Source organism: Homo sapiens, chromosome 12, assembly GCF_000001405.40.
Source record: "Homo sapiens chromosome 12, GRCh38.p14 Primary Assembly".
Taxonomy (NCBI): Eukaryota; Metazoa; Chordata; class Mammalia; order Primates; family Hominidae; genus Homo; species Homo sapiens.
Genome location: NC_000012.12, coordinates 75,518,771 through 75,533,054, shown reverse-complemented (window position 1 = coordinate 75,533,054; position 14,284 = coordinate 75,518,771). Strand labels below are relative to the sequence as shown.

Below are 14,284 nucleotides of genomic sequence, written 5' to 3'. Positions count from 1 at the left end.
TGGTGCATCCCAACCACTATATGTTCCCATTTTGCCAAATAAATCTTATGCTCTAAAATTATAATTATAATTAAAATTATATCTCATTGAATTTTGTTGAATTCTATATCAATAATTCCTCATCTACTTAGTCCACAAATATGTGACAAACATAAAAAATGGCAAAAACTCTTAATTTATGTGATTTTTTTCCTTTCTCTACCCTAGTACCTTTCACTGAAGACAAATTTATTGTAAAATTTCTACTGGGATTCATTGTAGGTAAGGACATTTAACTTATTAATATCATGGGACTTTTCAATGAGTTTTTCATGAACAGGCATTGTAAGATTAGCTCTTCTGGCATTAGACCTTTAGGTCATAAAATACATCAAGTTTGCTGTTTCTTTCCTCTGTCCTCCTGCCTCATTTCCACTAATAAACTTCAACCACCACATAATTATTTTAAAACTAATATTATTAAGTTTTCAAAGTGGTGACTCTTGATAAGTTATCATAGATGCTTAGACATTGCCAGTTATTGTTGGCCAACTAAGAAATTTGTCTTAGAAGAAAGCAAAGTTTAAAAAGTCAGTATTTAAGTAAAAATATATTCAAATTGAATTCTAGCAGTAATGATCTTCACTTTTCCCAGATTTTATCTAAAGGCAAATAACCTCTATGAGGGAAGGATTGCATTTGCAGGCACATATATATATGTGTGTGTGTGTACATATATATGTGTGTATATATATATATATATATATACACACATATATATACACGTGTGTGTATATACATGTATATATATGTAGGCGTATATATACACATCTGTAGGCATATATACACATGTGCATATATATACATACATATGTACATACACATATATGTATGCCTACAAATGATTGAAATTAATTAAAATACATAATACAAATATAACTAATATATATACATATACATGTATATATGTATACATTATACACACACACACACACACACACACACACACACACACAGTGTTGCCAGCATTAGCTGTCAATGGCTATGTGTCTATTCTAATTTATCAAGAGTCACCATTTCGGAAACTTAATATTAATTTTAAAGTAACAATGTAGTGGTTGAGAGTAATTAAGTAACTTGACCAAGATCACACTGCTAGTAGGTTGCAGAGCTGGGTTTCAAATGTAGACACTGGTCTCTTAATCTGACATTCACTTATTTAACAAATATTTATTAAGCATGTACTATGGGCAGGATATTGTGTGAGAGGATAAATAAACGAAGAAATTAAGACAGAATTTCCTCTTTCAAGGAAATCATTGCTAATTTCAAAAGAATGTGGAAGGGTCTCAACAGAACATTCATGGGATATCACAGAGAACCATGCTATGTATGCAAAAGAAGAGTGGTCTTTCTAATTCTCTTATGAAAAATGCCCTTTCTTCAGAAGAAATTAAGTAAGTGAAGCCTTCCAGAAATGTAGGACTGTAAAATATCTAGTTCCTTGATTCTCTTAATTCAAACTTATTTTCATTTGAAGAAATAACTTCAACTTCTATTTTAGATTCAGGAGCTACATCTACAGGTTTGTTAGCTGGGTATATTTTGTGATGCAGAGATTTGGGATATTATTGATCCCATCACCTAGGTACTGAAAATAGTACCCAGTAGTTAAGTTTTTCAACCCTTTTGCCCTCCCCTTTCTAGTAGTCTCGAGTGTCCATTGTTGCCATCTTTATGTCCATTAGTACCCAATGTTTAGCTCCTACTGTAAGTGAGAACATGTGGTATTTGGTTTTCTTTTCCTTCATTAATATGCTTGGGGTAATGGCCCCCAGCTGCATCTGTGTTGCTGCCAAGGACAAAATTTTGTTCTGTTTTATGACTGCATAGTATTCCATGGCATGTATGTACCACATTTCATTAACCTATCTACCCTTGCAACTAAAACAAAAATTGACAAGTGAGACCTAATTAAACTAAAGAGCTTCTGTACAGCAAAAGAAACTATGAACGGAGTAAACACACAACCTACAGAATGGGATAAAATGTTCATAAAGGTCTAATATCCAGAATCTATGAGGAACTTAAACAATTTAACAAGCAAAAACAAATAACCCCATTCAAAAGTGGGCAAAAGGCATGAAGAGACACTTCTCAAAAGAAGATATACAAGTGGCCAACAAACATATGAAAAAATGCTCAACATCACTAATCATCAGAGAAATGCAAATCAAGGCCACAATGAGATACTATCTCATATCAGTCAGACTGGCTATTATCATTATTATTATTATTATTATTTTGAGATGGAGTTTCACTCTTGTCACCCAGGCTGGAGTGCAATGGTGCGATCTCCACTCACTGCAACCTCTCCCTCCCAGCTCCAAGCGACTCTCCTGCCTCAGCCTCCCGAGTAGCTGGGATTACAGGTGCCCACCACCAGGCCTGGCTAATTTTTTTTGTATTTTTTTCTGTAGAGACAGGGTTTCGCCATGTTTGCCAGGCTGGTCTTGAACTCCTGGCCTCAAGTGATCTGCCTGCCTTGGCCTCCCAAAGTCCTGGGATTACAAACGTGAACCATCGCACCTGGCCTCAGCTGGCTATTATTAAAAAGTCAAAAAACAAATGATGCTGGTGAGGCTATGGAGAAAAGGGGACACTTATACACTGCTGGTGGCAATGTGAATTAGTTCAGTCACTACGGAAAGCAGTTCAGAGATTTCTCAAAGAACTTAGAACTGCCATTTGAGCCAGCAATTCCATTAGTCAAAGGAAAATAAATTGTTCTACCAAAAAGACATATGCACTCATATGTTCATCAGAGTGCTATTCACAATAGTGAAGGCATTGAATCAACCAAGGTGCCCATCAAACTCATTTTCTTTGAGTACATCAATGGCTGTGTCTTAGGAATGGTGTTAATAGACTGCATGTGGACCAGCAAAGTACCTGTACCACCAATGCTAGCACATTCCATTTTTACTTCCCTAAAAAGCTAATAAGGTAGGGGAAAAAAATCTACCCCACCAGATCAGTTTCAGTGTTAACAAAGCTAAGACTCAAAGCACAAAATGGGAAAGCCCTGCCCACACCATGAATTGTGTTTACTCATACCCAGAAACTGCTAATTAGGTTACAGATAATTAAACTGTATTACAATCTCGGGATGAACATTTTCTTTATTTTTTTCTGTTTGTTAGTTTATTGCTAATGCATTGTGGGGAACCCTTAGAAAGACTCTGATAATGCTATCACATTACCCTTCCCCAGATTAATTGCATTATCACCAACTGAAATTATCTTTTTGCTTTGGTTGTTATTCGTCTTCCCCAATTAGGATATAAGCACTATGAGATCAGGGACATTATCCATCTCACTTAGCCCTACAGATGTTCCTTAACTTATGATGGGGTTGTGTCCTGATAAACCCATCATAAGTTAGAAAATATAATCTAAATTGAAAATGTACTTAATATACCTAACCTATAGAACATCAGAACTTAGCCTAGCCTATCTTAAATGTGCTCAGACACTGATATTAGCCTGCAGCTGGGAAAAATCATCTAACACAAAGCCTATGTTATAATAAAGTGTTTGATATCTCATGCAATTTATTGAATACTGTACTGAAAGTGAAAAACATGATGGCTCTCCAATTTATGAAGGTTATGATGTAAGTCCAACCATCGTAAGTTGGAGACTGTGTGTGTATAATCCATATGTCTGATGTATAGTAAGCAATATATTTATTCAACAAATATTTGAGCATGAATGCCTGAGTGAACAAAGAAAAGATAACTGCTCTATCTTAATCAGACTTTTATAAAACTAAAATTTGTATCCTCTAAAAGGCAACTATCCTCTCAATTGTATCAAACTCTTACTGTTTTTCCCTTATTTCATTTCTCTGAAGAAATCCTCTACTTCATTTAGCAAAGAGAGAATATCAAGAGATATATGACCCTATTTTAAATGTTGATAGGTGTCTCAAATATCTATTGCTATATAAGAAACATGCCAGCACACAATGGCTTAAAAACAATCTGGACTGAACAGTTCTTTTGCTCCACATGGTATCTACTGAAGCTGAAATGTCTAAGATTGCTTCTTCACTCACATTCAGAACCTCAGTTGGGATGACTGGAATATCCGAGAGCTGGTCAGGCCTGTTTCTGTCCCTCTTTCCACATGGCTAGCTTGGGCTTTCTCATAGTGAGATGGGCTCAGGGTATTTGAACTTCTTATCCTGCATCATTCTTCCAAGATAGAGGAAGCAGAAGCTGCCAGTCTTTCTAAAGGCTGGACCTAGAATTAGCAGAGTCATAGCCACAGTATTCTCTCGATCTAAACAAGTCACAGGGCCAGGCCAGATTCAAGGGGCTCCTCACTCTCTTAGTGTGAGGAGTAACATGCATATCAACAAGGAAGGAAGCTATCAGTGGTGGCTATCTTTGGAGATTATATGCCACAATAATGAGGTGGCTCTTCTCGAACTGCCTGCCTGTCTGTCTTAGAAATGCTGTAACTCTGTCCCAGTCTGTGCCAAGCAGAGATGATGAACAAAGCAGTGTGTGAAGTAGGCTGCTATTGCACCCTCTTTGCGTCTGACTTGATGTGGCTGACATATTGACATTATTTTATTGCTTTGGTGTGGCAACAGCTCCAGCTAAGCCACCACTGCCAGACACTTGCCCATCTGTCCTAAAATATGACTAATTACCATTATAATGATTCTTCAGCTTTATTAAACTTCTGTCTTCTGCAAAATCAAATGAGATTCATGAAGACTTTTTCATTAATCATCACAGCATCCCTGCTGAGAGCTTAAAAGAGGTAGGTGTATTCTTATTTTAGAAATGAAGAAGGTGCAACAAAATGAAGCTCTAGGAAGGTTAACCAGTATCACAAAGCTGGTCTGCTAGAATGAAGGAAAGAGGCAATATGTGTGTGTGTGTGTGTGTGTGTGAGAGAGAGAGAGAGAGAGAGAGAATTTTTCTGGGAAAAAGGGAAGGAGAGTCATCAATTTTTTTCTTTTCTGTTCCAATGTTATATGGCAATCATTTAAATGTCTCAACATACTAAAAGTTTCCAGAAGCAACAAACTTCTGGTATAATCAGAGGCTATGAGCTGTGCCCTAAGAAAAATATTGCAAAGAGATTTAACGTCTATCAGAATCAAATTTGTTTTCCTTCTTTCTAGCTACGTGTCCTTGGACAAGACACTGACCCTCATGCATTGATAGGCGTAAGTTTCAAAGCTTCATTAGATAGATTAAATGAAAAGACATGTAGCACATGTGTATAATAAGTTGTTCATAATAGGTACCCAATAAATGGCAATGGTTGTTATCATAAATTTTGTGATCTTAGGAATTTTAACATGCTAGTTGAAATAAAAAAGATAAAGCCTTCTTTATTTGTACCTAGTGACTTTCAGAAATAGCAGCATTAATTAATAGTTAACTGATTGGCACAATAGGGTGACTATAGTCAATAATAACTTAACTGTACATTTTAAAACAACTTAAATAGTGTAATTGGATTGTTTGGAACTCAAAGGATAAATGCCTGAGGGAATGGATACCCCATTCTCCATGATGTGCTTATTTCATATTGCATGCCTGTATCAAAACATCTCATGTACCCCATAAATATATAAACCTATGTATAGATGTATACACATAGGTGTATATATATATATACATAGATGTATGGTGTACAGGTGTATATCACAAAAATTTAAAAAAATTTAAAAATAGCTGGTTTGTATGTTATTAACTGCAGCTGAGTTTTTACGTTAAGATCTAGCCTGTGTGAACTTGAACAAGTAAGTTAATGTCTGTGGGCATTTGTATACTCATCTGTAAGGCAACAGAGCAGATGGTCTCTAAGAATGTTTGCATCGGACATCTGAGTTGTATGGAAATAGAAAAAGCCATTATTTGTGACCATTTGCCCTCTAGTGGCAAGAACCAGGGAAAACTATTTCTACTGAGAAAAAATTTCATGTCTGTATCCCCACCAAAACCTGATATATTGATAAATTCTTAGATTTGCTTCAATATTGTGTTAGTTATGTTTGTCTGTGTAAAAATTATCCCCCAAATTAGCAACTTAAACATTTACACAGTGTCTGAGGGTCAGGAATTTGTGAGCAGCTCAGCTGGGAGCTTGCAGCTCAAGGTCTCCCAGGAGGCTGCAATTAGGTCGGGCTGCAGCCATCAGACAGCTTGACTAAACTACATGAGCTGCCTCCAAGTTCTCTCATGTGGCTGTTGACAGGTTTCAGTTCCTTACCACAGGGACCTCTCCACAGGGCTGCTCACAACACGACAGCTGGCTTTCCCCAGAATGAGTGATCCCAGAGAGACAGAGAGAGAGAAAGAGCTAGAGAGAGAATGCAACAAAGATGGAAGGCACAATGTCTTTTATAAACAAATTTCAAAAGTTATTTACTGTGGTAGAATGAACTAGCATTACATGGATTCGAGATGAATATATCTAAAAACAATATATTCCACATAAAAAGCAAGTTTCATAAGTACATGCACATTATATATATAATTTTGTATATATATAATATACCTATACATTATATGAATGTAACTAATGTAAAATAGTTATATAATAATTACATACATGTTTATTAAGTATAATGTACAATGTGTCATATAAAATATGAAAAGCCTACTTTATCTTGTTTAAAGATTGTATGTGTGTGTGTGTGTGTGTGTAGTAGCCATAAAAACAAAAATATGCATGGAACTGATAAATACTGATAAAACTAAACATAAGTGGTCACCTGGGACTTTTGATATAACTCTTCAGAAAAAGAAGCTCTTCTTCTGTTAAGAATGTACATCCTAGAATTGCTGATAGACACAGAAGGGGGACAGAGAGAAAGAGAGAGAGAACATGTCAGTGATTGAGGGAGGGCATTACTGTCTTGATGACACTGTTGAGTTCCTAGATGCAGTATCCAGGTTATGGGACTATAAATCCTCTTTTTTACATAAGTTACTTTGAGTTTCTATGACTTTCCGTCAAAGGAGTCTTGAGAAGTATAGTTCTATGCAACTATTTAATCATACTGAAATCATAATTGTAGAAGAAGGCATATGCTTATTTATTAAAGGTAAAGAGTGCTTCCATCCCCTCTACCTCCCCTGGGCAACTCTAAGAGCAGGACACTCTAGTGCTTAAAAGATCAGATTCAGGCTTCTGAGACACTCCTCTCATGTTGCTTTAAGGCAAGGCCCCCTAAACTGGTAGCCTGATCCTCTAGGGATTCTATGGAAGAGTGCTATTATGTCTATGCAAACATGTGCTCTTCTGGGGAAAGAGTCTGTATTTCATCACATAGTAAAGGGAATGGTAAACAAAAAGAGGTTAAAATCACTGTTGGATGATAAAAAGTATTATGTTAAAGCCTGCATTTACACACCTCCCAGTGTCAGGTAGCTAGACTTTTTAATTAGAGAATTTGAAATTATGAAGTAGCAATGCCACCATCTTATTAACATCATGAAATCATTTTTAAAAATATAAATGTATTAAATGTTTAAAATATTTCACTTAAAAAGTTCATTTTATTATGGGCCATCTGCAGTTACTGCCACCTAAAGGATGGGAAAGGCATATAGCTTCAACAAATGACTAAAGATTTGCTTTCCAGAAAAGTTCAAGTGTTCTTTCAGTGTTATGTTTACAAATAAAAGACTGTCGTTTGCTTTTTCTATTAGCATAAAATAATTCTCAGTAGTATCAATACATTTCACATGCCACTGATTAAATCCTGAATATTCATGCATGCAATAAAAAGCCTTCCGTTGCTATGGTGGAACCTAATACCATGGAATGTATTCCAGCTTCCTTTAGGGGGAAGAACGTTCAAACTGAAAATTATATCAAAGCTGGTCCTTATCAATGAGAACAATCACAAAGAGAAAGAGGGAAGATTGCATGTAAATTATAGGAGAGGCTAGATTCCCAATGAAAATATGAATGTTTTATTGGCTTGGGGCCTGAAGAGACTAATATTCAAGCCGTAATGAGTGTCTTTCAACCCAAAGGGTCCACTGTATGTACAAATCCCAGTGTTTTTTCAGGTCATGAGGCAACAGAATTCCACAATGATATGGTTGAGGAAAATGGAGACCTGTCCACAGAGGAGCCCAGCATCATAATGAACAGCCATCTGGAATCTTTGGCTTTGGTACCAAACTAATACTGCCCTAGGTAGGTTAAATTTAAAAAAAAAAAAAAAAAGGTGGGGGAAATAACTCTGCTTTCATGGCATGCTTGGTTAGGCACTTACTGGCCCTTTAAAGTAGAATAACAGCAACTCAGAATACCTTTAGGCCAGAGCGTCTTATCCTTGGCACTATTGATATTTTGGGTTCAATAATTCTTTCTTGTTGGGGGGCTGCAAATTCTCAGGGCCTACTATACTACTATAAAGTGAGAGTGGGGCCACCCCTCCATGTGATTCTGAGGCTGGTTAAAGTTTGAAAAACAGTAATCTAACCCAACTCTCTCATTTTACAATAAAAGAAACCAGTTGGTTAAGTCTTATCTAAGATTAAATGTCTGGTTAGAGTCAAAACAGTACATTATACCTTATTCTCCACAGAATTTGCGAAGTGTGGCCTTGGAGAAAGAGGTGGGTATCCTGCAAAGATGTTTCACCCAGGCACCAACTACATGAAACATCCTGCTGCACAGCAGAAAGCATTTCAAGACTTGCTGAATATGTTTCGTAAATCTTGTCTCTGTCCTAGATTCCCAGGGTTCTTGGGTTACATGCAGAACAATTCACTTTTATCAACACTTTATTTTTCTAAAGATAGGTTAATAATATAATAATTTTATGACTGATAATGTATAATTAGTTTACAGCTAGGGTACATTTTTTGTGTGTGCTTGACTAGATACCTATTTCATCATGAAATCACTTGGAGTTAGAAGAGGGCTTACTTTTACAGCCACAGGTATCATTACTGTTATTGAGTTGTTAGATATACTGATTTAGAATTTTAAACTTTTCCATGAAGTTGACTGGAATGAAAAGCAGCTAATGTATGTTAGAAAATAAAAATGTGGCTATGCAACCATAAAAAAGAATGAGATTACGAATTTTGAGGGAACATGGATGGAGCTGGAGGCTCCATCCTCCAGCTCCATCTGTTTTCTGTTCCTGCATTAGCAAACTAACACAGCAACAGAAAAACAAATACTGCATGTTCTCACTTGTAAGTGGGAGCTAAATAATGAGAACTCATATAAAGAAGGGAACAACAGACACTGGGGCCTACTCGAGGGTGGAGGGTGGGAGGAGAGAAGCAGCAAAAATAACTATATTGGGTACTAGGTTTAGTATCTGGGTGATGAAATAATCTGTACAACAAACCCCCGTGACAGGAGTTTATCTATATAACAAGTCAGCATATGTATCCCTGAACCTAAAATAAGATTTAAAAAAAAGAAAATAGGGAGTATAGCCAAGATGGCCGATTGGGAACAGCTCCAGTCTACAGATCCCAGCGTGAGCGATGCAGAAGACGAATGATTTCTGCATTTCCAACTGAGGTACCAGGTTCATCTCATGGGGGATTGTCAGACAGTGGGTGCAGGACAGTGGGTGCAGCGCACCAAGCATGAGCTGAAGCAGGGCGAGGCATTGCTTCACCCAGGAAGTGCAAGGGGTCAGGGAATTCCTTTTCCTGGCCAAAGAAAGGGGTGACGGACGGCACCTGGAAAATTGGGTCACTCCCACCCTAATACTGCGCTTTTCCGACAGTCTTAGCAGACGGCACACCAGGAGATTAGATCCCGAGTCTGGCTCGGAGGGTCCTACGCCCACAGAGCCTCACTCATTGCTAGCACAGCAGTCTGGAATCAAACTGCAAGGTGGCAGCAAGGCTGGGGGAGGGGTGCCCACCATTGCTGAGGCTTGAATAGGTAAACAAAGCAGCCAGGAAGCTCGAACTGGGTGGATCCCACCTCAGCTCAAGGAGGCCTGCCTGCCTCTGTAGACTCCACCTCTGGGGACGGGGCATAGCCAAACAAAAGGCAGCAGAAACCTCTGCAGACTTAAATGTCCCTGTCTGACAGCTTTGAAGAGAGTAGTGGTTCTCCCAGCACGCAGCTGGAGATCTGAGATCAGACAGACTGCCTCCTCAAGTGGGTCACTGACCCCCGAGTACCCTAACTGGGAAGCACCCCCCAGTGGGAGCAGACTGACACCCCACACGGCTGGGTACTCCTCTGAGACAAAACTTCTAGAGGAACGATCAGGCAGCAACATTTGCTGTTCACCAATATTCACTGTTCTGCAGCATCCGCTGCTGATACCCAGGCAAACAGGGTCTGGAGTGCACCTCCAGCAAACTCCAACAGACCTGCAGCTGAGGGTCCTGACTGTTAGAAGGAAAACTAACAAACAGAAAGGACATCCACACCAAAACCCCATCTGTATGTCACCATGATCAAAGACAAAAGGTAGATAAAACTGCAAAGATGGGAAAAAACAGAGCAGAAAAACTGAAAATTCTAAAAATCAGAGTGTGTCTCCTCCTCCAAAGGAATGCAGCTCCTCACCAGCAATGGAACAAAGCAGGACGGAGAATGACTTTGACAAGTTGAGAGAAGAAGGCTTCAGATGGTCAAACTTCTCTGAGCTAAAGGAGGAAGTTTGAACCCATGGCAAAGAAGTTAAAAACCTTGAAAAAAGATTAGACGAATGGCTAACTAGAATAACCAATGCAGAGAAGTCCTTAAAGGACCTGATGGAGTGGAAAACCACGGCATGAGAGCTATGTGATGAATGCACAAGCCTCAGTAGCCGATTCGATCAACTGGAAGAAAGGGTATCAGTGATGGATGATCAAATGAATGAAATGAAGTGAGAAGAGAAGTTTAGAGAAAAAATAATAAAAAGAAATGAACAAAGCCTCCAAGAAATATGGGACCATGTGAAAAGACCAAATCTACGTCTGATTGGTGTGCCTGAAAGTGACGGGGAGAATGGAACCAAGTTGGAAAACACTCTGCAGGATATTTTCCAGGAGAACTTCCCCAATCTAGCAAGGCAGGCCAACATTCAGATTCAGGAAATACAGAGAATGCCACAAAGATACTCCTCAAGAAGAGCAACTCCAAGACACATAATTGTCAGATTCACCAAAGTTGAAATGAAGGAAAAAATGTTAAGGGCAGCCAGAGAGAAAGGTACGGTTACCCACAAAGGGAAGCCCATCAGACTAACAGCTGATCTCTCAGAAGAAATTCTACAAGCCAGAAGAGAGTGGGGGCCAATATTCAACATTCTTAAAGAAAAGAGTTTTCAACCCAGAATTTCATATCCAGCCAAACTAAGCTTCATAAGTGAAGGAGAAATAAAATCCTTTACAGACAAGCAAATGCTGAGAGATTTTGTCACCAGCAGGCCTGCCTTAAAAGAGCTCCTGAAGGAAGCACTAAACATGGAAAGGAACAACTGGTACCAGCCACTGCAAAAACATGCCAAATTGTAAAGACCATCAAGGCTAGGAAGAAGCTGCATCAACTAACAAGCAAAATACCCAGCTAACATCATAATGACAGGATCAAATTCACACATAACAATATTAACCTTAAATGTAAATGGGCTAAATTCTCCAATTAAAAGACACAGACTGGCAAATTGGATAAAGAGTCAAGACCCATCAGTGTGCTGTATTCAGGAAACCCATCTCACATGCAGAAACACACATAGGCTCAAAATAAAGGGATGGAGGAAGACCTACCAAGCAAATGGAAAACAAAAAAAGGCAGGGGCTGCAATCCTAGTCTCTGATAAAACAGACATTAAACCAACAAAGATAAAAAGAGACAAAGAAGGCCATTACATAATGGTAAAGAGATCAATTCAACAAGAAGAGCTAACTATCCTAAATATATATGCACCCAATACAGGAGCACCCAGATTCATAAAGCAAGTCCTTAGAGACCTACAAAGAGACCAAACTCCCACGCAATAATAATGGGAGACTTTAACACCACACTGTCAACATTAGACAGATCAACAAGACAGAAAGTTAACAAGGATATCCAGGAACAGAACTCAGCTCTGCACCAAGTGGACCTAATAGACATCTACAGAACTCTCCACCCCAAATCAACAGAATATACATTCTTCTCAGCACCACACTACGCCTATTCCAAAACTAACCACATAGTTGGAAGTAAAGCACTCCTCAGCAAATGTAAAAGAACAGAAATTATAACAAACTGTCTCTCAGACCACAGTGCAATCAAACTAGAACTCAGGATTAAGAAACTCACTCAAAACCGCTCAACTACATGGAAACTGAACAACCTGCTCCTGAATGACTACTGGGTACATAACGAAATGAAGGCAGAAATAAAGATGTTCTTTGAAACCAACAAGAATAAAGACACAACATACCAGAATCTCTGGGACACATTTAAAGCAGTGTGTAGGGGGAAATTTATAGCACTAAATGCCCACAAGAGAAAGCAGAAAAGATCTAAAATTGACACCCTAACATCACAATGAAAAGAACTAGAGAAACAAGAGCAAACACATTCAAAAGCTAGCAGAAGGCAAGAAATAACTAAGATCAGAGCAGAACTGAAGGAGATAGAGACACAAAAAAACCCTTCAAAAAATCAATGAATCCAGGAGCTGGTTTTTTGAAAAGATCAACAAAATTGATAGACCGCTAGCAAGACTAATAAAGAAGAAAAGAGAGAAGAATCAAATAGATGCAATAAAAAATGATAAAGGGGATATCACCACCGATCCCACAGAAATACAACCTATCATCAGAGAATACTATAAACACCTCTACACAAATAAACTAGAAAATCTAGAAGAAATGGATAAATTCCTCGATACATAGACCCTCCCAAGACTAAACCAGGAAGAAGGTGAATCCCTGAATGGACCAATAACAGGCTCTGAAATTGAGGCAATAATTAATAGCTTACCAACCAAAAAAAGTCCAGGACCAGATGGATTCACAGCCGAATTCTACCAGAGGTACAAGCAGGAACTGGTACCATTCCTTCTGAAACTATTCCAATCAATAGAAAAAGAGGGAATCCTCCCTAACTCATTTTATGAGGCCAGCATCATCCTGGTACCAAAGCCTCGCAGAGAAACAACAAAAAAAGAGAATTTTAGACCAATATCCCTGATGAACATTGATGCAAAAATCCTCAATAAAATACTGGCAAACCAAATCCAGTGGCACATCAAAAAGCTTATCCACCATGATCAAGTGGGCTTCATCCCTGGGATGCAAGGCTGGTTTAACATACGCAAATCAATAAACGTAATCCAGCATGTAAACAGAACCAACGACAAAAACCACATGATTATCTCAACAGATGCAGAAAATCCCTTTGACAAAATTCAACAACCTTCATGCTAAAAACTCTCAATAAATTAGGTATTCATGGGACGTATCTCAAAATAATAAGAGCTTTCTATGACAAACCCACAGCCAATATCATACTGAATGGGCAAAAACTGGAAGCATTCCCTTTGAAAACTGGCACAAGACAGGGATGCCCTCTCTCACCACTACTATTCAACATAGTGTTGGAAGTTCTGGCCAGGGCAATCAGGCAGGAGAAGGAAATAAAGGGTATTCAATTAGGAAAATAAGAAGTCAAACTGTCCCTGTTTGCAGATGACATGACTGTATATTTAGAAAACCCCATCATCTCAGCCCAAAATCTCCTTAAGCTGATAAGCAACTTCAGCAAAGTCTCAGCATACAAAATCAATGTGCAAAAATCACAAGCATTCTTATACACCAATAACAGACAAACAGAGAGCCAAATCTTGAGTGAACTCCCATTCACAATTGCTTCAAAGAGAATAAAATACCTAGGAATCCAACTTACAAGGGATGTGAAGGACCTCTTCAAGGAGAACTACAAACCACTGCTCAATGAAATAAAAAAGGATACAAACAAACGGAAGAACATTCCATGCTCACAGGTAGGAAGAATCAATATCGTGAAAATGTCCATACTGCCCAAGGTAATTTATAGATTCAATGCCATCCCCATCAAGCTACCAATGACTTTCTTCACAGAATTGGAAAAAACTGCTTTAAAGTTCACATGGAACCAAAAAAGAGCCCACATCGCCAAGTCAATCCTAAGCCAAAAGAACAAAGCTGGAGGCATCACGCTACCTGACTTCAAACTATACTGCAAGACTACAGTAACCAAAACAGCATGGTACCAGTACCAAAACAGAGATATAGATCAATGGAACAGAACA

At 38.4% G+C, this 14,284-nt stretch overlaps 1 long non-coding RNA gene across 1 annotated transcript in view, besides 2 other annotated features; it reads left to right on the top strand.

The window, feature by feature from the left end:
* The window catches only part of LOC105369844 (uncharacterized), a 310,508-nt gene extending 301,714 nt beyond the window's left edge, over nucleotides 1-8,794 (top strand). The window contains exons 13-16 of the long non-coding RNA XR_007063375.1: nucleotides 208-261; nucleotides 1,292-1,436; nucleotides 8,091-8,220; nucleotides 8,615-8,794. This is a non-coding gene — a long non-coding RNA (uncharacterized LOC105369844). The remainder of the gene's footprint in view (nucleotides 1-207; nucleotides 262-1,291; nucleotides 1,437-8,090; nucleotides 8,221-8,614) is intronic.
* Nucleotides 9,332-9,832: an enhancer, noted in NCBI's record as "H3K4me1 hESC enhancer chr12:75917003-75917503 (GRCh37/hg19 assembly coordinates)". NCBI's record gives its function as "activates a minimal SCP1, AML or CMV promoter by ChIP-STARR-seq in naive H9 embryonic stem cells {active_cell/tissue: H9 hESC(naive)}" and the evidence as "EXISTENCE:reporter gene assay evidence [ECO:0000049][PMID:30033119]".
* Nucleotides 9,833-10,333: an enhancer, noted in NCBI's record as "H3K4me1 hESC enhancer chr12:75916502-75917002 (GRCh37/hg19 assembly coordinates)". NCBI's record gives its function as "activates a minimal SCP1, AML or CMV promoter by ChIP-STARR-seq in naive H9 embryonic stem cells {active_cell/tissue: H9 hESC(naive)}" and the evidence as "EXISTENCE:reporter gene assay evidence [ECO:0000049][PMID:30033119]".